This window comes from Homo sapiens, chromosome 11 (genome assembly GCF_000001405.40).
Source record: "Homo sapiens chromosome 11, GRCh38.p14 Primary Assembly".
NCBI lineage: Eukaryota > Metazoa > Chordata > Mammalia > Primates > Hominidae > Homo > Homo sapiens.
The window spans coordinates 46984948-47011694 of record NC_000011.10 but is presented as its reverse complement, the minus strand read 5'-3'; the positions used below and the strand labels follow the sequence as shown (position 1 = coordinate 47011694).

The following is a 26747-nucleotide window of genomic DNA, read 5'->3' as shown; positions in this document are numbered from 1 at the left end:
ATGAAGTTAGATTCTTAAAAAGCCATAAAAGACAAGCCAGTCGTAGTTCTTGGAAAAAGTGAAGTGTGATAAGGATGGATACATGGCCTACCTCTAAGTGATTTTTGCATCTGAGAGACTCTATACTTCGTTTCTTCTTCATATCACTCTCAAGAAGCTTAATAGAAATATATCTTTGAAATTGTGCCCACACCCCAAAACTTGGAGCCTTCTATGGCTGTGTTAAATCACATGGGTACTGAAGGGAGAAGAATCTCTATTTTCATCTACCTTGCCTAATTCCTTTTCAAAACTCAACAAGAGCAAATAAGAAGTCAATAGTTGTAAAGTTCTATCTATTAATCTGGATACCCAAATTCTTGTCTTCTCGTCATTCATCTTTCAATCTGTAAGTGTCAGAGACTTCTAGGAAATTTCTACCATCTGGCATATTTCTCAGATACAGAAGAAAATGTAATAAAAATGTATTTTAAATGGATAATTCACAGTTTTTTTTGATAAAAAGTTTGACAGACTGACACAAATGTATATTTTTGGAAAAACCGTGGGTGATAAATGTTTCAAATTCCTCAAATAGACTTCAATTCCACTTCTCTCACCACTTAAAAATTAGTTTTAATATGTTCAGCTTTCCTTTATCTCAAATATTTCAATAATATATTAGGAAGTGTTTGGGGGGAATTTCATCAGCACTCAAGCAACTACTGAACAGGCAGAATCACATCTTGGGAAACTTATTAGATGTCCTTCCAAGAAAACTTCTGATACTTAGTAATACATCTTCTCTATTGGCAATTTCCAAGATTTTCCTGGGGAATCACACTGAAGCTTGAGAGAAGAAAAAAAAATTTACCAGGGACAGTGTTAACATCAAACAAAATCTAAATATTACCTGTAAATAAGAATAACAGTCCAATCATACCTCTTTTTCCCTACAAAGTAAAAGTCACTACCAAATAACATTTATGAGAATTCAGTTTCATCTGGTAACTAATACATTCCTAAATGACTCAAGAATGTACCAAAAAAATTAATAACAGTAATAGGGTTCTTGGTTGCAAGCAACAGAAACCAAGTCTCACTATCTTAAGCAAAAAAGGGCTCTGCTGGAAGGGTATTATTAGTGGCTCACAAAATCCACAGGTGGCTGAACCATCAGACTTGAAAAACAGACAGGAATCAAAGGAGCTTTGGAGGCTGAGCATCAGGAAACTAGGCAAAGGTCTCACCACAACAGTCTGATCCATAAGCAGCTACTGCAACTGACACATCTTTCCACTCCAGTCTCTTTGCTTAAGATAGCCAGAGACAGATTCCGTTGCTTCGGCCAAGAACATTTACTGCTACGGAATTTGTATAAAGTGAGACTCTTTGAAGAAAAGCTGGTCCCACTCTTTTGAGGAATTTCATTTCTCAACATGATCTCCATTCCCATCCACTTTCCTCTTTTTGCCAAGGCACACTAAACTTGGGATCTACTTTTTATTTCCACTCCTTTCCCAAGTAGTCTTCGCTTCCCGGAGTTCCATTCTCTCTTCTCTGTCTGATAATTATCTACACATTCTTTAAAACTAAATTAATGTCACTATTCTGTGAATTCTTTCCTGACCGTATAAATAATCACTTTTCCTGTCAAAGTTTACTCACTAGTCCAGAACTTCTAATGCTCTATTTTAATTGTATTTGTGTCACTATCTAATTTTTACATGACAGTGAATTTCTTGAGGACCATATCTGACACACAGTGATTGGCATATGATAACTATTTAATAAATAGTTACTGAATTTTAAAAATTGAAAGAAGACCAAACAATGAGTTTCTCAGCATTTATGAGGTACTGTCTTTGCCTTTCTTCCTCTTCCTTTTTTTTTTCTTTTTGAGACAGAGTCTTACTCTGTCACTCTGTTGCCCATGCTAGAGTGCAGTAGTGCGATCTTGGGTCACTGCAACCTCCCTGCAACCTCTGCCTCCCAGGTTCAAGCAATTCTTCTGCCTCAGCCTCCCAAGTGGCTGGGATTACAGGCGCCTGCCACCACACCCAGTTAATTTTTCTATTTTTAGTAGAAATGGGGTTTCACCATGTTGGCCGGACTGGTCTCGAGCTCCTGACCCCAGCTGATGCTCCCGCCTTGGCCTCCCAAAGTGCTGGGATTACAGGCATGAGCCACCACACTCAGCCATTTTACCTTTCTACTTATTTCAATATAATTGAGCCTTCCACAAACTGGCCCTATCCTCATTATATATTTTCTGTTTGTTGCTTTTTACCTTGTACTAGTCCTCCATGAGTCAAATTAGATTCCTTTATGATCCCTTGCAGTGTATGATATTTTCTACTTCAACTAATTATTAATATGTTCCATCAGAATGCAAGTTTTAAAAGAGTTCTTCCTCCAATAAAAGTAGAGTAGGTAATTCAGACTAACTCTTCTGGCTGAGAAAAAAATGGATAAATTATTAAAGACAATTGTCTGAAGTCATCAGAGAGCCACCAAGGCAAATGAAGAATGACAAGGCCAAGTTATGAGAGAATAAAACCGAGAAAGGTGAGCTGAGCATTTAGTGCCACTTTTCCCAATGTGTAGGGTTTCTAAACAGAAGGGTCCATGGATTAAATTCAAGAGATCCACACACTTGGATAGGGAAATTTTTTTTTTTTTTTTTAGATGGAGTCTTGCTCTGTTGCCCAGGCTGGAGTGCAGTGGTGTGATCTTGGCTCACTGCAAGTTCCACCTCCTGGGTTCCTGGCATTCTCCTGCCTCAGCCTCCTGAGAAGCTGGGACTACAGGAGCCTGCCACTACGCCCAGCTAATTTTTTTGTATTTTTAGTAGAGACGGGGTTTCACCGTGTTAGCCAGGATGGTCTCGATCTCCTGACCTTGTGATCTGCTTGCTCAGCCTCCCAAAGTGCTGGGAGGCATGAGCCAGGGAAATTTTTATGTTTATTTTTACTAACCTCTAACTGGAATTTGGCATTTCCTTCTATTATGAATATAAGCATAGCAGAATTAACAGTACCTGTGACTCTTTCAATAATAGAAATCTCAGATATTGGCTAGGCACAGTGGTTCACACCTGTAATCCCAGCACTTTAGGAGGCTGAGGCAGGAGGATGACTTGAGGACTGGAGTTTGAGAGTAGCCTGGGCAATATAGCAAGACCAAATCTTTACAAAAAACTTTAAAATAAAAAAAAAGAAACCTCAGATATTTTCATATAACATTACTGTCATACCAGATATCTCACAATATCATTTATACTTATCACCACTTCAGAAATAAGGTATTATTATATCACTGGTAGCTCTAGGGGCCTCTGCCAGTTCTGGAAGATTCAACTGATACACTAAGCAGTTAATAATTTTGAATTAATGTTAAGTTCCTGAGTTTTCAAATGACTGTTAGGGCTTGCAGATAAAAAATCAGAGTTGGCTGGGCGCGGTGGCTCACACCTGTAATCCCAGCACTTTGAGAGGCCAAGGCGGGCAGATCACCAGGTCAGGAGTTCGAGACCAGCCTGGCCAGCACGGTGAAACCCCGTCTCTACTAAAAACAAAAAATTAGCCTGGCATGGTGGCGCAGGCCTGTAATCCCAGCTACTTGGGAGGCTGAGGCAGGAGAATCACTTGAACCCGGGAGGCAGAGGTTGCAGTGAGCCAAGATCATTCCACTGCACTCCAGCCTGGGCGACAGAGTGAGACTCAGTCTCAAAAAGAAAAGAAAAAAAAAATAGAGTTCAGGACCCACCCACGTTGGGGGCTGGGACTCTGGTAAACCCTAAAGCTCTTTTGGCACTCCTCAGAGCTATACTGAAAATCAGCCCTCCCTGAGATGTAAATCTATATTCAAATCCTTTCAAACCCTCATGGGATTGAGGTAATCCAGGATTGCTAGTGCCCAGGCCATCTGCCAAAAGCAAATATAAATCCCCTCCGAAGAAAGATAACATCATTCTGGGCCTCACATTATCTGTATAGTTTTTCAATTTACATAACTCATACACAATTTACATAACTCAACTAGAGAAAAAAAAAAGTATAACACAAGATAAGATAATGGAGTAAAAAAAAAATGGATAGGACAGAAAACAGAAACAGACCCACAGGGTATCCAGACAATAAATTATGGACTTTGTAATAACCATGCTTTATTTACTATGTTCAAGCAAATGAAAGACAAGATTTAGCAAGGAAACAAACAAAAACTGAATAAAAATACTTGAACTAAAAAAATACAATAATTAGAATTAAGAACTCAGTAGATGGGTTTAATAGTAAATTACACAGAAATGAAGAGAGAATTAATGACCTGGAAAATAGATCAGAAGAAAATATCCAGAATAAAGCATAAACTACAAAATGATGGGCTGGGCATGGTGGCTCATGACTGTAATTCCAGCACTTTGGGAGGCCGAGGCAGGCAGATCATTTGAGGTCAGGAGTTTGAGACCAGCCTGCCCAACATGGTGAAACCCCATCTCTACTAAAAACACAAATTAGCCAGCCACGGTGGTGGGCGCCTGTAATCCCAGCTACTCAGGAGGCTGAGGCAGAAGAATCACTTGAACCAGGAAGGCAGAGTGGGTTGAACCTGGGAGGCAAACCTGGGTTGCAGTGAGCCAAGATAGTGCTACTGCACTCCAGCCTGGGTGACAGAGTGAGACTCTGTCTCAAAAAAAAAAAAAAAAAAAAAACCACACAAAATGATAGAAAATGCAAAAAAGAGCATAAGAGACAGAGAATACTATGAAAAGGTCTAATGTTTGTGTAATTAGAATCCCAATAGGAGTAAAGAGAGGGTAGAGGCCAGTCGTGTTGGCTCATGTCTGTAATCCCAGCACTTTGGGAGGGCGAGGCAGGAGGATCACTTGAGCCCAGGAGTTTGAGACCAGTCTGGGCAAGATGGCAAGACCCTATCTCTAAAAAAAAAAAAAAAAAAATTAGCTGAGTGTGGTGGCGTGCAACTGTGGTCCCAGCCACTTGGGAGGCTGAGTGAGGCAAGAGGATTGCCTGAGCCCAGGAGGTAGAGGCTGCAGTGAGCCATGACTGCACCACTGCACTCCAACCTGGGTGACAGACAGAGATCCTGCCTCAAAAAAAAAAAAGAGACAGAGACAGAGAGAGAGTAGAACAGAAGTAAATTTGAAGAGCTAATTATTGAGAGTTTTCCAGGACTGATAAATGATATCAAGCTATAGGTTCAAGAAGCACTAAGAACACCGAATAGTTTAAATATAAAGAAAAGCAAAACTAGACACATTACACTAAAACTATCAAAAACCAAAGACCAAGTAGAAATATCCAAAAACCATCCAGAGATTTAAAAAAAGATTATTTTCAAAGAAGCAAGAATAAAACTGAGAGCAACTTCTCAACAAAGTCAGTAGAAACCAAAAGATAATGGAATGGTAAAACAGCTGCCAACCTAGAATTTATCTCAGGAAAAAAACTGCCCTTCAAAAATGAGGTGAAAATGTAAATAAGACGTATAGATTAGTTAATAGTTTTGAATTAATGTTAAGTTCTTGATTTTGGCAGTTATATTATGGATACAGGAAATGTTAACATTAGTAGAAGCTGTATGAAATGGATGTGGGAACTCCATATATAGATTTTTTTAAACTTTATGTAAGTCCAAAATTATTCACACACATTCTAAAAAGGTAAAATGAAAACAATTTCAGAATGGAAGCTCCATAAGAGTTGAAATTTCTGGTCTGTTTTTTTCACTGCTATATCCCTAGTATCTAGAACGCTAAGACGTAGGCACTCAATAAATATATATTGAATGAATGAGTGAACAACAGTAGTAGCAGTAGCTACTAATTAATTCAACACTTATTGTATCTTAAGTGAAATGCCAAGCACTTTACTTTCATTAACTCATTTAATCATTCCAACAATTATGTAACATGGAATTTTATATTTTATATATGAGTCTCCCTATTTTATAGATGAGGTAAGCAATCTGCCCAAGATCTCATACCAGAAAGTGGCAGGCCCTCTAACATAGACCTATCTGATTCCAAAGTCCATGTTCTTAACCACTATGTTATGGTGCTTTCATGTTGCAAAATATGTCTCCTTTCTGTTTTGTTTATCCAAACTCTACCTTCCTTTCCAAAATTAAGACAAACTCCTCTATAAGACTCAACTAATTTTACTTAACTAATAGCCATTATTTTTCCTTACTCTCAATTCTCAGTGTACTGGGCCATATAACTTAATGCCATTATATAAGGTCTTGTATTGCTCTGTAATTGTTCGTTATTCAATGAGTTTTACCTCTTTAACCAGATTACATCTTACAGGGAAGTGACCATATCTTATATTCCTATTAATATAGAGCACATTTGAAGCTCTATAACAATACTTAATATTTTTGTAAAGGGATGAAGAAAAACATTTCCATGCAAGAAACAGTGTTTTTGAATGCTTTAGTGATCAGGCTTACATGGTCTAAGATTCTAAACATAAAATTTGACTCAGAAAAACAAAAAAACCACTATCTTAAAAAGTTTTTACATCAATTTTCTGTAGTATCTCTTTTTCCTTATGACATTTTAGGGGATGTTCAGGGTAATTTGGACATAGCAGTACAAGTTCTCCTGGTTAAACCTTCTTGAGAGGGTATATAGATTGCATAGAAGGTAAAGTATGAGAGTGTGCAGATGAACAATTATCCCCACACATGTAAGCTGCAGTTTGTCTGGTGTAAATATACTCTCCCTGCCTGGAACTGCCTGTGTAATGTTCTCTCTTTGGGCTCTGTGGTTTCTCAATACATTCCAACTGTTCAGAGGCTGGAGCTTGGCTCTGCAAGCATAGATAAACAGCTTCCTGGAGCAGGCTGCCAGCATGAGGAGCAATGACCTCAGCAGAGAAAGTCTGCTTTTCATTACCCTGAGCCCATCACTGTACTGCTAGAGCTAAGAGTGGGAACAACACAAGTTGGATAGAGTTGACTGACTCAAGTCTCCCACTACACCTTGAGTTTTAAAATTCTGTATCTAGAGGAAAGGGGGTAAAGACAGGAAGTGAGAAAATGGCATATGCAAAGAAAACAAAGATAGAAAAGCTTTCTTAGGCTATTCTGTGAATGAACTAAATGATGAGTGAAGTGGTTAAGAGTCATGCAGGCAATCATTGAATGTTTTAGTCTCCAAAAACGTACACAAAATACAGGGCAAGAAAGAAGTGTTATAGAAAGTAAGAGAGGCCAGGTACAGTGGCGCACACCTGTAATTCTAGCATTTTGGGAGGCTGAGGCAGGAGCATAACATGAGCCCAGGAGTTCAAGACCAGTTTGAGCAATAAAATGAGACCCGTCTCTATAAAAAAGAAAAAAAAAAGTTAGCTGGGTATGGTGGCACGCACCTGTGGTCATGGCTACATGGGAAGCTGAGGCAGGAGGATTGCTTGAGCCCAGGTTAAGGCTGCAATGAGCCATGTTTGTGCTACAACTCCAGCCTGGGTGACAGAGTGAGACACTATCTCAAAAAAAAAAAACAAAAACAAAAAAACAAAAACAAAAACAAACCAGTAACAACAACAACAACAAAAAACAAAAGAGAGACTAAAAAGTCCTCAAGATCTTCAACTCTGATGCCATTTAAAGAGAGAGAAAAGGAAGACTATCCAGATCCACAGAGATACAAAAATCCCAGAAAAGTGGAGCTTAAGGAGAACAACACACAATGAAGATGAATTATATATAGCCAGACATCTTGCATGTGTAATTTCATGTGATTTGCATAACAACCCTAGAAGATAGGTATTATCATCCCTAGCAATAATCTAGACCTAGAAAATTACAATACAATGACATCAACAAAGACATTTGTTGTTGATATTATTTAATGACAAAGGGATGATTTCAAGTCTGCTTCTACGGCCACCCAGGAAACAATGCTTTTCCCAAACATCTCTCATTGTAGTATTATCTATTGTTGCAGCCCCAGAACTCAGCAATACTAGAACTGTGACCTAGAAGAAATGTACACATTTGTGCCACTTTCTGATAAGACAGTTTCTGCAGTGCTGGTAGCATTGCATCTGATAGTTGAAGAAGGGAATCACAATTATGTCCTCAGACAAGAAATTGGTTAGATATGACCCCTCCTGAAGGATCCTGAGAGACAATTTGTTTTTTGGAGAAGTCACTGACTATAATGATGCACCTGCAAGGGGGCCGGGAGCTGAGAGACAGACAAACATCTTAGCAAATTCTAAAAGCAGAGTGAAGCTTCATTTGACTTTCATTTCACTTTTCTCAGGGAAGAAGAACCTTTGTGTTACTGCCAAAATCCTAACTGTCCTTCCTTCCTCTCTGTCCCCTCCACCCCCACGCCAGCTCATTAAAGATCTTCTGGTTAAAGGTGCCAAATTGTGTCATTCTTTCCTACTCCAGTGCCAAGCCTGTGCCAATGGCACCACAGATTGATCTGCTAGAGTTCTGAGCAAATTATGGAAGAAATTAAAAGCACTGAAAATTTTAAATTGTTCTGTTGCTGGTGAAGTAAAGCTTTTTAAACTTCTTATTCTTCTTGTAGAGACAGGGGTCTCATTGTGTTGCCCAGGATGGCCTCAAACTCCTGGCCTCAAGTGATTTTCCCACCTTGGCTTCCCAAAGTGCTGGGATTATAGGTGTGAGCCTATAATCTGGCCTAGTTTCTTAACTTTTGATGACTGACTTTACATTGCTAATGGCATAACACTTGTTAATTAAGACTCGTGTGAGTGTACTTGATTGCCAGACAAGTATTCAGGGAATTATCAGAGTGGTGGTGTGAAGGAATATCAGGGCTTGGACCAAATAAAGATCCTTCATATTATTTATAGATTGAAATAAATCAAGTTATTTATCTAAGGGGAGATATTTTAATGTAAAAAATCAGACCTAAATTTTATACTAGCTAGCTGCAAAAGCAGCTCCCATGAAAACAGAAATAGTATCATTGGGGCTTGAGAACACTTCAGCCAAGGATGGTGTTTCTTCATTTCCTCTTATTGAATGGTTTTATAACAGATAAGTTTCTCTTAACTTGTAGAAGGCAGGGGGTGGGGTGGGGGGAACAAGGTCTTTCCTGACAGGGAGAATCTGGGCCCAATTATTACTTCTGTAACCTTTGACTCTGACTTCTAAACGAGTCAAGGGACCAGTGGGCTGTGAAATAGCTTCCTCCATTACCAGGTCAAGTGCTGCTGGATAGTTTCCTGTAACCATAATACAAAGGGACTGAAGAAGTGAGATGGATTCTACAAAAACAGGCAACTTCTTGCATCCTCAATGACCCTGGATTTTTAAGTTTCAAAACAGATTTTGACTCTTAACTCACCACCATGGCTCCCTGTAGTCTTTTTGCTATAGCATACCTCTAGTAATACAGAAAAGAGCCAGAAAGAATCCTCTATAGATTTGGTTCTATGATGGTCTAACAGAGGTGCCTGGCCTAGTAACAGTGGGGATAGGGTTGCTTTAACTGAAGGCAAATCTCTTCCTGACAATTATCTGAGTCTGTGGGAAACCAGATGCTGACAATGAGAAACGGGTAATTTTCTGTTACAATGTTTAACAGCTAAGAACTGAACTATGGAAAAAAGTCAGGGGAGGGGGTGGGTAAAGGGGGAAGCATTACCCCTTTTGAAGAAGTCTATAATAGGATTAGTCACCATTACTTTACCACACCACATTTTGGCTCAATTTAACGTAAATAAGTAGAGAAAACATGAGCAGAAATGGCCCAAAGAAGTCTCAAGTCCATCTCTCATTCAGAGCTACAAGCTGGAAATCAGCGAAGTCTTGGTTTGTTCTGATGTGCTTCTTGTTGCCTCACACCTGCTCCTCTGTTACCATGGACACAAGAAGAACCCCAAACAACATTATTTAAACTCTAGATGGTGAATGATCCTTAAAAAATCTGTCACCTTTAGAATGAATGTTTATGCCCTGATTGTTATAGATTATGTAGGAAAGAAGTGGGTCATCTTTTCATAGGGCTTAAAGCACCTGTCTGAAAAAAAAAATAACAAGAAATGATACATATTTTATAATCATGGATTGTTTTCATTAGAGTTACGTTTTAAGTTATTTAGGAATATGCACTATTACCTATGTAACAAACCTGCACGTTCTACACATGTATCCCAGAACTTAAAGTAAAAGAAAAGAAAAAAGAAAAAAAAAACGGGTATGCACTATTGGAATCTCTTTTTTTCTCCAAGGATGAATTAATGAAGTTCATATTTTATGGATTTATTTGAATCAAAATTAATTCTGATGATTAACATGTATCAAAATGAAATTATTAATGCTCCTTTTCTAAAAACTGACAAAGATTTCCATCTCCATATTTATACTATGTAGTGTAGAACACAAATACTTTTGATGATGAATTATTTTATTTACTTTCACTGGTTAAATAGGAGCAGAGCATGAGGGAGGCCAGTTACCCATGAGGGGGTCCTAAGAACACTGCCTAGTAAGGGTACTCCATTCTCAGTAGCAACAAATAAAATCAATCAAATGATCATTTTTGGACACAGGAAGCTTACTTAGATAATCAAGGTGGACAAAGAAAAGGTGCATCACCCTCTGAGCTAAGTTATTGGCTCTCTGATGGGATGAGCTCTCAATCGTCATCTCTTCCAAGAGGACTTCCCTGTCCATACTATATATTACCTTACTCTGGCTGTTTTCTTGTTATTTGTCTTGTTACAGTTACCAGCTATGTAACCATGAGAATGTTACTTTTATAGCCTGAATTTCCTTATGAGTAAAATGAGGATAATACTAATACCCTGTTTATATAGAACTGTGAAGATTAAATAAAATAATGGATATTATATGCTTAGAACAGTGCCTAGCACACAGTGCTTATTAACTATTAGCTATTCTCATCCCCATCAGTTTGCTTGTTTATTGATTATTACCCTCATTAAAACACTAGGTTCATAAAGATAGGTACCTTATTTGTCTTGCTCACTGCTCTATTCCCATTGCATAGTACACACAGGCACAGAGTAGGTGCCCAAAAGTAATTTGTGAATGAATAATTCACAAATGAATGCTGCATATTCTCACGTATCCTTAAAATAAACCAAAGGTAGTCTGTGTACTTCTTTCCCTTGCAACCAAAACAGTCATCATAAAAACTTCACCAAAAAACTAAAATCATCCTTTAAAAAACGAAAACAAGACACTTGATCATAAAAGCGAGCTCTCCTGGGCCCACCAACCAAGACCACAGAATATTATTCTTTTCTATATTAGTATGTGGAAGTCAAGCTCCCTGATGCCATAGTGTTGGAACTATCAATTTAGCCTGTGAAGAATGGTTCCCAATTCTGATACAAATTCTCAGATTTCATCCTGTTTTTCTCTCATCATTATTTTCCAATGTCTCAAAAAGCCACATTTCTCATTTTATCTTTACCACAAGAATCTGGTCACACTCTGCTGTGGTTTCTAAGTTAGAGCTACTCTCGCCCATTTTCTTGGATGTATTTCTTCAGAGGTCCTGACCCAGTGCTGACATTTGGCCTATTCTTAGAGTAGCACCTCTAAATATTAATTTCTTTTACCTTCCACTGGTTGAAGGACAACATTCAGAGGTAGAGGTTACATACAACATAAAAGAAAATCCTCTGGGATTTAGTATCCGTCTTTCAAGAGTGTCCAGAGGAATATGATCTACAGAGCTCATGGTCTTGCAGACATACACAAAGTACTGTTCAGCCACTTGTGTTTTACAGTTTATCCAGATTTGCTGGAACAGTCATGGACTTGTTTGAAAACACCAACAACCAAGGAGTGACAGACAGCATAGGTGAGAGGGCAAGCAGACCCAGAGAAGAAAATCAGAAGAGAAGCCTTCCAAATACAATTTCAAGGAGTACTTTTATCACTGTTTAAAGGTAAATCACCCACGGCTAAATATATGAAAGTCTCAAGATGTGAACTCGAAACTGTAAGATGGAAGGATACCGTTAACATATTTTTGAAAATCATGCTTCCTGCTCTTTATAGTCAGCTCTAGTTGCATCCCCCAAAAGGCCATATTAAACATTTAAATGGCAGTAAACTGAGGTCACCAGCTAAGGCTGTGTGATAAGCTTGCAAAGTATAGTTCATAAGGGAGAATTCAAAAATAGTAGAAATTATAGCTAGAAGAAACCTCCAAATATGATCTGGTTAGCCCTCTAGCAACATTAAGCAGTAAAGTGGCTTGGAGGCAGTAGAGAACAGTGGACTCTATAATACTGCAGATGAGGCTTGATTCCTGAGTCTGTCACTTAACAGCTTGTGAACTTGAAGAAGCTATTTTAATCTTTCTGAGCATCCACTTCCTCCTCTATAAAACAGAGATAACAATAATAATAGTACCCATCTCAAAGAATTGTAGTAGCTGAGACATGGTATTAGTTTAGTAAAAACTGCATATTATAATATATAATTATTATATTATTATTATTATCATGTAAGGCTTTATTAAACCCACTTCATAGATGAGGCAACTGAAGCCCATATTTCAGAAATTTGCCCAGGGTTATAGAGTGAGGACTTAGAAGAATAAGCAGCTCTTTTTCCTTCTAGGGTAGTGCTCTTTCCACTTCACTATGTTTCTCTTATTAATCAATACAAAACTGAAGCCTGAGGCCAGGCGCGGTGGCTCACACCTGTAATCCCAGCACTTTGGAAGGCCGAGGCAGGCGGATCACAAGGTCAGGAAATCGAGACCATCCTGGCTAACACGGTGAAGCCCCCTCTCTACTAAAAATACAAAAAACAAAAATTAGCCGGGCATGTGGCGGGCACCTGTAGTCCCAGATACTCGGGAGGCTGAGGCGGGAGAATGTCGTGAACCTGAGAGGCGGAGCTTGCGGTGAGCCGAGATCGCGCCACTGCACCCCAGCCTGGGCGACAGAGCAAGACTCCATCTCAAAAAACAAAAAAAAACAAAACAAAAAAACTGAAGCCTGAAAGTGAAGGATTTTCACTAACTAAATCAAATTCACAAAGTAAACTCAGGAGCTTCCATCATCCAGGTCTCCTTGTCTACCAAATTATACTTACACTATTTCCCATTCTGTCATACATCCACACCTTTCAGGTCTTCAAAAAAAAAGAAAACCCAAAAGTTTCTGGAGCTGGTTTACTTTTCACTTCTTAGAATAATTTACCTCAAGCCAATCTGGTGTCATAGACTTATGGAAGTGTCAGGTATGTGTCACTCGTATATTATGTAAATTTCAGCTTTCTGGGGACAAGAAACAGCCTGCTTGGCAAGTACATTTCTATCAGCACTGTAGAAAATCTTACGATTTTTTTTCAACAGTGTGTTGGTAGATAAAAGCTGCCTACAGTCAGCCTTACTGTTGGTTCACTACAGCTCAGCATTGGCTACACAGAACAAGTGGAATTCACTTTTGGAGTGCAAGGCGCACAGTATACAGCTTCTAAAATGGCACAATATAGAGCTTTACCACAAAGAATCAAGAAAGGGAGGAAAAGGGGAGGTTCCAAGATGGCCGAATAGGAACAGCTCCAGTCTACAGCTCCCAGCGTGAGCGACGCAGAAGACGGGTGATTTCCGCATTTCCAACGGAGCTTTGAAGAGGGTAATGGATCTCCCAGCACGGAGTTTGAGATCTGAGAATGGAAAGACTGCCTCCTCAAGTGGGTCCCTGACCCCCGAGTAGCCTAACTGGTAAGCACCTCCCAGTAGGGGCCGACTGACACTTCATACGGCTGGGTGCCCCTCTGAGACAAAGCTTCCAGAGGAACGATCAGGCAACTACATTTGCTCCTCTGCAATATTTGCGGTTCTGCAGCCTCCGCTGGTGATACCCAGGCAAACAGGGTCTGGAGTGGACCTCCAACAAACTCCAACAGACCTGCAGCTGAGGGTCCTGTCTGTTAGAAGGAAAACTAACAAACAGAAAGGGCATCCACACCAAAACCCCATCTGTACGTCACCATCATCAAAGACCAAAGGTAGATAAAACCACAAAGATGGGGAGAAACCAGAGCAGAAAAGCTGAAAATTCTAAAAATCAGAGTGCCTTTTCTCCAAAGAAACGCAGATCCTCGCCAGCAACAGAGGAAAGCTGGACGGAGAACGACTTTGACGAGTTGAGAGAAGAAGGCTTCAGACGATAGGTAATAACAAACTTCTCCGAGCTAAAGGAGGATGTCCGAATCCATCGCAAAGAAGCTAAAAACCTTGAAAAATGATTAGACGAATGGCTAACTAGAATAACCAGTGTAGAAAAGACCTTAAATGACCTGATGGAGCTGAAAACCATGGCACAAGAACTATGTGACACACACACAAGCTTCAGTAGCCGATTTGATCAACTGGAAAAAAGGGTAAGAGTGATTGAAGATCAAATGAATGAAATGAAGCAAGAAGAGAAGTTTAGAGAAAAAAGAGTAAAAAGAAACGAACAAAGCCTCCAAGAAATATGGGACTATGTGAAAAGACCAAATCTACATCTGATTGGTGTACCTGAAAGTAATGCGGAGAACAGAACCAAGTTGGAAAACACTCTTCAGGATATTATCCAGGAGAACTTCCCCAACCTAGCGAGGAAAGCCAACATTCAAATTCAGGAAATACAGAGAACACCACAAAGATACTCCTCGAGAAGAGCAACTCCAAGACACAAAATTGTCAGATTCATCAAAGCTGAAATGAAGGAAAAAATGTTAAGGACAGCCAGAGGGAAAGGTCGGGTTACCCGCAAAGGGAAGCCCATCAGACTAACAGCAGATCTCTTGGCAGAAACTCTACAAGCCAGAAGAGAGTGGGGGCCAATATTCAACATTCTTAAAGAAAAGAATTTTCAACCCAGAATTTCATACCCAGTCAAACTAAGCTTCATAAGTGAAGGAGAAATAAAATCCTTTACAGACAAGCAAATGCTGAGAGATTTTATCACCACCAGGCGAGCCCCTGAAGGAAGCACTAAACGTGGAAAGGAAAAACCAGTACCAGCCACTGCAAAAACATGCCAAATTGTAAAGACCATCAATGCTAGGAAGAAACTGCATCAACTAAAGAGCAAAATAATCAGCTAACATCATAATGACAGGATCAAATTCACACATTAACAATATTAACCTTAACTTTGGGAGACCGAGACGGGCGGATCACGAGGTCAGGAGATCGAGACCATCCTGGCTAACATGGTGAAACCCCGTCTCTACTAAAAATACAAAAATTAGCCGGGCATGGTGGCGCGTGCCTGTAGTCCCAGCTAGACGGGAGGCTGAGGCAGGAGAATGGCGTGAACCCGGGAGGCGGAGCTTGCAGTGAGTCGAGATTGCACCACTGCACTCCAGCCTGGGCGACAGAGCGAAACTCCGTCTCAAAAAAAAAAATAAAATAAAATAAAAAACAATATTAACCTTAAATGTAAATGGGCTAAATGCTCCAGTTAAAAGACACAGACTGGCAAATTGGATAAAGAGTCAAGACCCATCAGTGTGCTATATTCAGGAGACCCATCTCACATGCAGAGACACACATAGGCTCAAAATAAAGGGATGGAGGAAGATCTACCATGCAAATGGAAAACAAAAAAAAGCAGGGGTTGCAATCCTAGTCTTTGATTAAACAGACTTTAAACCAACAAAGATCAAAAGAGACAAAGAAGGCCATTACATAATGGTAAAGGGATCAATTCAACAAGAAGAGCTAACTATCCTAAATATATACGCACCCAATACAGGAGCACCCAGATTCATAAAGCAAGTCCTTAGAGACCTACAAAGAGACTTAGACTCCCACACAATAATAATGGGAGACTTTAACACCCCACTGTCAACATATGACAGATCAACGAGACAGAAAGTTAACAAGGATATCCAGGAATTGAACTCAGCTCTGCACCAAGCAGACCTAGTAGACATCTACAGAACTCTCCACCCCATATCAACAGAATATACATTCTACTCAGCACCACATCGCACTTATTCCAAAATTGACCACATAGTTGGTAGTAAAGCACTCCTCAGCAAATGTAAAACACCAGAAATTATAACAAACTGTCTCTCAGACCACAGTGCAATCAAACTAGAACTCAGCATGAAGAAACTCTCTCAAAACCAATCAACTACATGGAAACTGAACAACTTGCTCCTGAATGACTACTGGGTACATAATGAAATGAAGGCAGAAATAAAGATGTTCTTTGAAACCAATGAGAACAAAGACACAACATACCAGAATCTCTGGGACACATTTAAAGCAGTGTGTAGAGGGAAATTGATAGCACTAAATGCCCACAAGGGAAAGCAGGAAAGATCTAAAACTGACACCCTAACATCACAATTAAAAGAACTAAAGAAGCAAGAGCAAACAAATTCAAAAGCTAGCAGAAGGCAAGAAATAACTAAGATCAGAGCAGAACTGAAGGAGATAGAGACACAAAAAAACTTTCAAAAAATCAATGAATCCAGGAGCTGGTTTTTTGAAAAGATCAACAAAATTGATAGACCACTAGCAAGACTAATAAAGAAGAAAAGAGAGAAGAATCAAATAGACGCAATAAAAAATGATAAAGGGGATATTACCACTGATCCCACAGAAATACAAACTACCATCAGAGAATGCTATAAACACCTCTACGCAAATAAACTAGAAAATCTAGAAGAAATGGATAAATTCCTGGACACATACACTCTCCCAAGACTAAACCAGGAAGAAGTTGAATCCCTGAGTAGACCAATAACAGGCTCTGAAATTAAGGCAATAATTAATAGCCTACCAACCAAAAAAAGTCCAGGACCAGATGGATTCACAGCTGAATTCTACCAGAGGTACAAAGAGGAGCTGGTACTATTCCTTCTGAAACTATTCCAATCAATAGAAAAAGAGGGAATCCTCCCTAACTCATTTTATGAGGCCAGCATCATCCTGATACCAAAGCCTGGCAGAGACATAACAAAAAAAGAGAATTTTAGACCAATATCCCTGATGAACATCGATGCAAAAATCCTCAATAAAATACTGGCAAACCGAATCCAGCAGTACATCAAAAAGCTTATCCACCATGATCAAGTGGGCTTCATCCCTGGGATGCAAGACTGGTTCAACATACACAAATCAATAAATGTAATCCATCATATAAACAGAACCAAAGACAAAAACCACATGATTATCTCAACAGATGCAGAAAAGGCCTTTGACAAAATTCAACAGCCCTTCCTGCTAAAAACTCTCAATAAATCAGGTATTGACGGGGTGTATCTCAAAATAATGAGCTATTTATGACAATCCCACAGCCAATATCATACTGAATGGGCAAAAGCTGGAAGCATTCCCTTTGAAAACTGGCACAAGACAGGGATGCCCTCTCTCACCACTCCTATTCAACATAGTGTTGGAAGTTCTGGCCAGGGCAATTAGGCAGGAGAAGGAAATAAAGGGTATTCAATTAGGAAAAGAGGAAGTCAAATTGTCCCTCTTTGCAGATGACATGATTATATATTTAGAAAACCCCATCATCTCAGCCCAAAATCTCCTTAAGCTGATAAGCAACTTCAGCAAAGTCTCAGGATACAAAATCAATGTGCAAAAATCACAAGCATTCCTATACACCAATAACAGACAAACTGAGAGCAAAATCATGAGTGAACGCCCATTCACAATTACTTCAAAGAGAATAAAATACCCAGGAATCCAACTTACAAGGGATGTGAAGGACCTCTTCAAGGAGAATTACAAACCACTGCTCAACGAAATAAAAGAGGACACAAACAAAAGGAAGAACATTCCATGCTCATGGATGGGAAGAATCAATATCGTGAAAATGGCCATACTGCCCAAGGTAATTTATAGATTCAATGCCATCCCCATCAAGCTACCAATGACTTTCTTCACAGAACTGGAAAAAACTACTTTAAAGTACATATGGAACCAAAAAAGAGCCCTCATTTCCAAGACAATCCTAAGCCAAAAGAACAAAGCTGGAGACATCATGCTATCTGACTTCAAACTATACTACAAGGCTACAGTAACCAAAACAGCATGGTACTGGTACCAAAACAGAGATATAGACCAATGGAACAGAACAGAGCCCTCAGAAATAATACCACACATCTACAACCATCTGATCTTTGACAAACCTGACAAAAACAAGAAATGGGGAAAGGATTCCCTATTTAATAAATGGTTCTGGGAAAACTGGCTAGCCATATGTAGAAAGCTGAAACTGGATCCCTTCCTTACACCTTATACAAAAATTAATTCAAGATGAATTAAAGACTTAAATGTCAGACCTAAAACCATAAAAACCCTAGAAGAAAACCTAGGCAAAAAAAAAAAGAAAAGAAAAGAAAAGAAAACCTAGGCAATACCATTCAGGACAGGCATGGGCAAGGACTTCTTCACGTCTAAAACACCAAAAGCAATGGCAACAAAAGCCAAAACTGAGAAATGGGGTATAATTAAACTAAAGAGCTTCTGCACTGCAAAAGAAACTACCATCAGAGTGAACAGGCAACCTACAGAATGGGAGAAAATTTCTGCAATCTACCCATCTGACAAAGGGCTACTATCCAGAATCTACAAAGAACTTCAACAAATTTACAAGAAAAAATCAAACAACCCCATCAAAAAGTGGGCAAAGGATACGAACAGATACTTCTCAAAAGAAGACATTTATGCAGCCAACAGACACATGAAAAAATGCTCATCATCACTGGCCATCAGAGAACGCAAATCAAAACCACAATGAGATACCATTTCACACCAGTTAGAATGGTGATCATTAAAAAGTCAGGAAACAACAGGTGCTGGAGAGGATGTGGAGAAATAGGAACATTTTTACACTGTTGGTGGGACTGTAAACTAGTTCAACCATTATGGAAGACAGTGTGGCGATTCCTCAAGGATCTAGAACTAGAAATACCATTTGACCCAGCCATCCCATTACTGGGTATATACCCAAAGGATTATAAATCATGCTGCTATAAAGACACATGCACATGTATGTTTATTGTGGCACTATTCACGATAGCAAAGACTTGGAACCAACCCAAATGTCCATCAATGATAGACTGGGTTAAGAAAATGGGCACATATACACCATGGAATACTATGCAGCCATAAAAAAGGATGAGATCATGTCCTTTGTAGGGACATGGATGAAGCTGGAAACCATCACTCTGAGCAAACTGTCACAAGGAGAGAAAACCAAACACCGCATGTTCTCACTCATAGGTGGGCATTGAACAATGAAAACACTTGGACACAGGATGGGAAACATCACACACTGGGGCCTGTCTTGGGGTGGGGGGAGGGGGAAGGGATAGCATTAGTAGATATACCCAATGTAAATGACAAGTTAATGGGTGCAGCACACCAACATGGCACATGTATACATATGTAACAAACCTCCATGTTGTGCACATATACCCTAGAACTTAAAGTATAATAAAAAATAATAATAAATAAAAAAAATAAAAAAAGAAAGGGAGGAAAAAACAAGAAAGTAGTCCTTATTATAACAAAATCTAGAAGAGTAGATAGTATTCAATAACTTAAAATATAGATACTGCTGTTGATTCAATAAATATTTAGCTAACATCTATTATATGCAAAGCATCATGCCAAGTACCAGGAATGCAAAGATGAAGAATAAATGAGGCCGGGCACAAATGGCTCACACCTATAATCCCAACACTTTGGGATGCCAAGGCGGGCAGATCACTTGAGGCCAGGAGTTCAAGACAAGCCTGGCTAACACGGTGAAACCCCGTCTCTAGTAAAAATACAAAAATTAGCCAGGTATGGTGGCGGGTGCCTGTAATCCCAGCTACTCGGGAGGCTGAGGCGGGAGAATCTCTTGAACCCGGGAGACGGAGGTTGCAGTGAGCCAAGATTGCACCACTGCACTCCGGCCTGGGCAACAGAGGGAGACTCTGCCTCAAAAAAAAATTTAAATGATGCCTACCTTCAAGCAACCAGTGTAATAGGGAAAAGACTTGTAACAGAGATGGGGAGGGGAGTAAAATGAAAAAAGCCAGGAAGAAGCATTACCCCCAGAAGAGTCATATTTCACTTGGCAAGGAGCCTCAAGAGTGCTGGTACAGATTAAATGGTATAGAAACTTGACCCGTAGGCTTGTCAGTTCACTTGTCTGTTCTGTAAAAGCAAGCAAGGCTATTCAATCTCAGTCTTTATTCCCTGCCCACCTCATTTGCTCCAGCCCACATCATGAGAACAAATAAAATTCCTTTCTCTACTTCATCCTCCTTTAGAAGACTGGGTGAAAGGAACAACTTTACTCCCAGAAAGCTTCTTTTTCCAACGAACCTAAATGCCAATCCATAAAAAATCTAGATTTCATTGAAAAGAACTTTAGAGTTCAGCAAAAGAGCTAGGGAATCTCAAGTATTCCCCTAACAGAAACCCAAGGTGAGGCCATTTGAATAGCTGTCTGATCTCCAAGGAGCCTCTGGAGAACAGAAAGGAAAAAAAAAAAAAAAAACTATGTTCAAGAAAGATGAACTTGAGTTCAAGATTCACTTAAATGGAAGCCTATAAGGATTACTCTTCCTTTCTTAGAATGTTCCCAAAAACCAGAAGAAAAGGAAAGAGAATCCAAACGATTATATAAATATGTGATGGCATATGTATTTCTCTAGCACATCCTTTCATGAAGATTGCGTTTTGCATGGTACCGGTACAAAAACAGAAACATAGACCAATGGAAAGTACAGAAAACTCAAAAATAAAGCACACACTTAAAACAATCTTATCTTTGACAAGGCTGACAAAAACAAGCACTGGGGAAAGGACTCCCTGTTTAATAAATGGTGCTGGGATAACTGGCTAGCCATATGCAGAAGAATGAAACTGGACCCTTACCTTTCACTATATACAAAAATTAATTCAAGATAGATTAAAGATTTAAATGTAAGATCTCAAACTATAAAAATCCTAGAAGAAAACCTAGGAAATATCCTTCTCAACATCAGCCTTGGCAAATAATTCTTGGCCAAGTCCCCAAAAGCAATTGCAACAAAAACAAAAACTGACAAGTGGGACCTAATTAAACTAAAAAGCTTCTGCACAGCAAAAGAAACTATCAATAGACAACCTACAGAATGGGAAAAAATATTCACAAACTATGCATCCAACAAAGGTCTAATATCCAGAATCTATAAGGAACTTAAGAAGCAAAAACGAAATAACCCCATTTAAAAATGGTCAAAGGACATGAACAGACATTTTCTCAAAAGAAGATATATAAGTGGCCAAGAAACATATGAAAAAATGCTCATTATCACTCATCATCAGAGAAATGCAAATCAAAACCACAGTGAGATACCATCTCATGCCAGTCAGAATGACTATTATTAAAAAGTCAAAAAAGAAAAAACACAGATGCTGGCAAGGCTGCTGAGAAAAGAGGATGCTTATACACTGTTGGTGGGAATGTAAATTAATTCAGCTACTGTGGAAATGAGTTTGGAGATTTCTCAAAGAACTTAAAACAGAGCTACAATTTGACTCAGCAGTCCCATTCATTAGTGGGTATGCCAAAGGAAAATACATCATTCTCCCCATGCACTCGTACATTCATTGCTGCACTATTCACAATAGCAAAGACATGGAGTCAACCTAGGTGCCCATCAAGGTGAACTGGATAAAGAAAATATGGTACATATATACCATGGAGTACTATGCAGCCATAAAAAAGAATGAAATCATGTCCTTTGTAGCAACATGGATGGAGCTAGAGGCCATAATCCTAAGTGAATTAATGTAGGTACAGAAAACCAAATACCACATGTTCTCACTTATAAGTGGGAGCTAAACATTGAGCATTCATGGACATGAACATGGGAGCAACAGACACTGTGGACTGCTAGAGGGGAGAAGGGAGAGGGGTAATGGGTCAAAAACTACCTATTGGGTACTATGCTCACTACCTGGGTGCAATGTACCCATGTAACAAACCTGCACATGTATTCCCTGTATCTAAAATAAAAGTTGGAAGAAAAAGAATATTAATGTGTTTTTAAAGTGTTTATCTCATTCAGCCTAAAAACAGTTCTGTGATATTCAAAAAGTGGTAATCAGTTGGGCATGGTGGCTCATGCCTACAATCCCAACACTTTGAGAGGCCAAGGTGAGAGGATTACTTGAGGCCTGCAGTTCAAAACCAGCCTGGTCAACATACTGAAACCCTGTCTCTACAAAAGATAAATTTTAAATTTAGCTGAGCATGATAGTACATACCTGTAGTCCCAGCTACTGGGGAGGCTGAGGCAGGAGGATTCCTTGAACCCAGGAGTTCAAGGCTACAATGAGCCATGATGATGCCACTGTACTCCAGCCTTAACAACAGAGTAAAATTCTATCTCAGAAAAATAAAAAAGGTAGTAATCATTTTGACTTTTACACATTCTAAGTATACTTTATAAAGAAGTATGACCTGTTTTTTTTTTTGAGACGGAGTCTCTCTCTGTTGGCCAGGCTGGAGTGCAGTGGCACCATCTTGGCTCACTGCCACCTCTGCCTACTGGGTTCAAGCGATTCTCCTGCCTCAGCCTCCCTAGTAGCTGGGATTACAGGTGCGTGCCACCATGCCTGGCTGATTTTTGTATTTTTAGTAGAGATGGGGTTTCAACATGTTGGTCAGGCTGGTCTCCAACTCCTGACCTCATGATCTGCCCACCTCAGCCTCCCAAAGTGCTGGGATTACGGGTTTGAGCCACCATGCCTGGCCTAGGTATGACCTTTCAAATATATAATCTATGAAAGATATCCTCCCTCTAGAAATATTCCTTTAAAAAATTTTTTTAAGTTCTAATTTTCATGGGTACATAGTAGGTGTATATATTTTTAGGGCACATAATATGTTTTGATACAGACATGCAATGTTAACTAATCATATCATGGAGAATAGGGTATCCACCCCATCAAGCATTTTTCCTTTGTGTTACAAACAATCTAAATGTACCCTTTGAGTTATTTTAAAATGAACAATTAAGTTATCATTGACTAGAGTCACCCTGTTGTGCTATCAAATAGCAGGTCTTTTTCATTCTTTTTTTTCTTTTTTGTAACCATCAACCATCCCCACCTCTTCCCCCAGCCCCCTGCTACCCTTCCCAATCTCTGGTAACCATCCTTCTATTCTCTTTGTCCATGAGTTTAATTGTTTTGATTTTTACATCCCACAAACAAGTGAGAACATCCAATGTTTGTCTTTCTGTGCCTGGCTTATTTCACTTAACATAATGATCTTCAGTTCCATTCATGTTGTTGCAAATGACAGGATCTCATTCTTTCTTAGGGCCAAATAATACTCCATTGTGTATATGTACCACATTTTCTTTACCCATTCATCTGTTGATGGACACTTAGATTGCTTCCAAATCTTAGTACTCTAAACAGTGCTGTAACAAACATAGGAGTACTGATATTTATTCGATACACTAATTTCCTTTCTTTTGGGTATATACCCAGCAGTTGAATTGCTGGATCATATGGCAGCCCTATTCCTAGTTTTTTGAGGAACCTCCAAACTGTTCTCCACAGTGGTTATACTAATTTACATCCCCATCAACAGTGTAGAAGGGTTCCCTTTCTCCACATCCTCGCCAGCATTTGTTATTGCCTGTCTTTAGGATACAAGCCATTGTAACTGGGGTGAGATGTTATCTCATTGTAGTTTTGATTTGCATTTCTCTGATGATCAATGATGTTGAGCACCTTTGCTTATGCCTGTTTGCCATTTGTATGTCTTGTTTTGAGAAGTGTCTATGCACATCTTTTGTCCATTTTTTGATGGGATTATTGGATGTTTTCCTATAGAGATATTTGAGCTCCTTATATATTCTGGTTATTAATCCCTTGTCAGATGGGTAGTTTGCAAATACTTTCTCCCATTCTGTGGGTTGTCTCTTCACTTTGCTGATTAGAAATACACTTAAATCATTAAGTGATTGGCACAGCATCCTGTAGAAAGAAAACTGCAGAGGAACATTAGCCTAGATTCCATGAGAAAAGCCAGCCATGAAAAAAAACAGGCTAGATGAACATCAGCGAAAGGAAATCAAAGTGAATATTTTGAATAAAGGAGAAAGTTAAAAGAGAAACCTACAGAAATAGATCTAATAGATCAAACAAGCAGTTGTTAAGCTACTGTAATCAAAACTATTCATGAGACATCACTGGACAAACTAGCTGCACCAAAGGCATGCTCCAAAACATGTTTGGGCGGCCCACAACCAACCTACCAAAACTAAACATTCACTGCCACTACCTAATCAGCATTGTCCTGCTCTGTTCCTCAAGTATCCTGCCTGCTTCCAAGCGCCTCCTCTGGGTTCACTGTATTAGTACAACATTCATGTACTTACTATTCAGTGAAGAACCTGGCAATTCCATATTGGCTAATATCTTCCCTGTTTTCTAGCAGCTGGCACACTGCATCCTCCATGTAGGTGAGGACATGTCGCTGAGCTGCAATCAAATAGCAAGAGAGAAAGAGAAAATGAGAGAAAGATTTTAAAAAGAATGATCCCAATCCTAGTAGGAGGTCATGTGTAAGGCAATCCAGGTGTTGGCTCTGTCTGATGACACTTCATCAGTGGACTGGAATAGGCAAAGCAAACTTGCTGACCCTAACTGAGCTATAGTCTCAAAGGATAGATTGGGAGATGATGTGAACATGACCAATTGCCATTTGACTGGCTGTTAGTATTAGCATCAACCCTTCATTCTTCATCTCAATCACAAGGGTGGGTTGAAGAGGAGATTTAGCACCATTCAGCAGATACACCTGGAAGTTCTTTTCTTTCTACCTCCTTCTATTCTTTTCCATTTCTGCATCAGAAACTTATCCCAGGGAGTTAGTAATTCCATGCTTGAAGCATGGATGGTATGATTGTAAAGAAAACTCTGGCCAGGCACAGTGGCTCAGGCCTGTAATCCCAGCATTTTGGGAGGCTGAGGCGGGTGGATCACTTGAGGTCAGGAGTTCGAGACCAGCTTGGCAACATGGTGAAAACCTGTCTCTACCAATAATACAAAAATTAGCCAGATGCAGTGGCTACTTCCTGAGTAGCTAGTAATCCCAGCTACTCAGGAAGCTGCGGCAGGGGAATTGCTTGAACCTGGGAGGTGGAGGTTGCAGTGAGCCAAGATCATGCCATTGCACTCCAGCCTGGGCGACAGAGCCAGACTTCATTTCAGAACAGAAAAAAAAGAAAACTCAGTTAATTTAAATTAGAAAAAAAAAAAAAAAGTCACTGGAAAGGTTTAAGGACCATGAAAATTTTCGTACTGGTGTATATATAAGTTATTAACTTTGGTAAATAACAAGACCATGAAATCTATCTGGCTTGGTTTATTAGATGTCATGTTTTCTGCATTTGTTGTGACTTGGAAATGTGTGAGTTAATCATGGGCGTATAATAAAAAGTATGAGTATTAGAGTGAGACAGACCTGAGTTTGAATCATGGCTCTGTCTTGGTAGCTTAATCTTGGATAGTTACTTAGTCTACACCTGTTTTCTTCTTTATCAAGTGTGAAAAGCAATATAATTTAACTATGTTTCTCAAAATATGGTCAATCAATTTCTTGATCTGAATCCCCTGGGATGCCGTTTAAAACGCAGATTTATAGTCTGGCACTGTCCCAGATTTAGTGACCTTACATTTTTTACTACAGCCCAGTAATTTTTAACAAGTACTCCTGATGCTTCTTATGTACTCTTAAGTTTAAGAATCACTGGTTAAGAACCTGGGCTTTGGATTACAGAGAGTTGAGAGCTCCATTCTCAGCTCTGCCACTTCCTAGTTATGTGACCATAAACAAATTATTCTTCAAGCCTATTCTTCATGGTAAAATGGGGATAATAATGGTACTTACATTATAGGGTTATGAGAAATAAATAAGATAATACAGGTAAAACACCACTATGTGTTTGGTACATAGTACGTGATTGATAACATGTTTCCTTAAAAGCCTGTCTCAAAGCATTATTGGGAGTTTACTCAGTAAACAACATAGGCCAGAACTTCTTAGATGTCAGGTACTCAAATACTTCTTCCCTTTCTCTGAATTTTATCCTTAGGTATGACAGAGGTTTCCTGACAAACTTTACATAGAAGCTTCCAATTCAGTGTCCACATTTACCATAAAAAATTCAGAAAAATACTTTCATCTGGAGCAGTGAGAACAAAAAACCCCAAAGTGATGAATATCCTTCCAAAAAGCAATTCTATGAAGTTGCTGCCAAAGTAGACATTTACTTCTTTCACAGTTTCATTCCTCAGGAAAATATGATGGAATTACCTAAAATTTATAAATATTGGTATTTCAAAAAACTATTTCTGAAGTCCTGGTAGTCTAGTGAAGCTCATAAAACAAGTAAGTTTACCTGCCAACCTGAGCCCAAAAGTCTTCATTTGACCATAATGATCGCGGTGACCTAAGGTTTCACCACGTTCCCAGCAGCCTAAAGTCCAGATGGATGACCTGTTTACATTCTGTGACTCATTCTATCTAAATGAGTGCTTCCCAAAACTAACAACTATAAACCACTGCAAACCCTGACTGCCCACCCCCAACCCCACCCAAAAAGAGGTGAAAACAAAATCAGTGCCTCAACTCAACAGTTCATCCAACTAGAAAACTGTTTCTTTAAGAAACGGCCAAAACTAAGAGTGAAGCTGTGAGATAATACCTGCCAATTTCTGGTATTGTTTTCAAAATATA

The 26747-nt window shown here is 39.3% G+C and overlaps 1 protein-coding gene and 1 long non-coding RNA gene across 8 annotated transcripts in view, besides 2 other annotated features; both read right to left on the bottom strand.

Moving 5' to 3' along the window:
* The window catches only part of CSTPP1 (centriolar satellite-associated tubulin polyglutamylase complex regulator 1), a 227697-nt gene that overhangs the window by 152691 nt on the left and 48259 nt on the right, over window positions 1–26747 (bottom strand). For 6 of the 7 annotated variants that reach the window (NR_103471.2, NR_103472.2, NM_001003678.3 and 3 more), the window contains exon 2: window positions 24385–24487. The exons of the other annotated variant lie outside the window; for it this stretch is intronic. Coding sequence is in view for 4 of the 6 variants with exons in the window: in NM_001003678.3 (NP_001003678.1) it covers window positions 24385–24487 (103 nt within the window). In the remaining 2 variants the exon portion in view is untranslated. The remainder of the gene's footprint in view (window positions 1–24384; window positions 24488–26747) is intronic. 7 annotated transcript variants of the gene reach the window in all.
* LOC124902670 (uncharacterized) lies at window positions 596–12719 on the bottom strand. The gene is made up of 2 exons (XR_007062665.1): window positions 2270–12719; window positions 596–828 (listed from the first exon to the last, which is right to left on the bottom strand). It is a non-coding gene; the product is annotated as an uncharacterized LOC124902670 (long non-coding RNA).
* Window positions 3095–3595: an enhancer, noted in NCBI's record as "H3K4me1 hESC enhancer chr11:47029651-47030151 (GRCh37/hg19 assembly coordinates)". NCBI's record gives its function as "activates a minimal SCP1, AML or CMV promoter by ChIP-STARR-seq in naive H9 embryonic stem cells {active_cell/tissue: H9 hESC(naive)}" and the evidence as "EXISTENCE:reporter gene assay evidence [ECO:0000049][PMID:30033119]".
* Window positions 6816–6895: a silencer, noted in NCBI's record as "silent region_3320". NCBI's record gives its function as "represses an Ori minimal core promoter by ATAC-STARR-seq in GM12878 lymphoblastoid cells {active_cell/tissue: GM12878}" and the evidence as "EXISTENCE:reporter gene assay evidence [ECO:0000049][PMID:35858748]".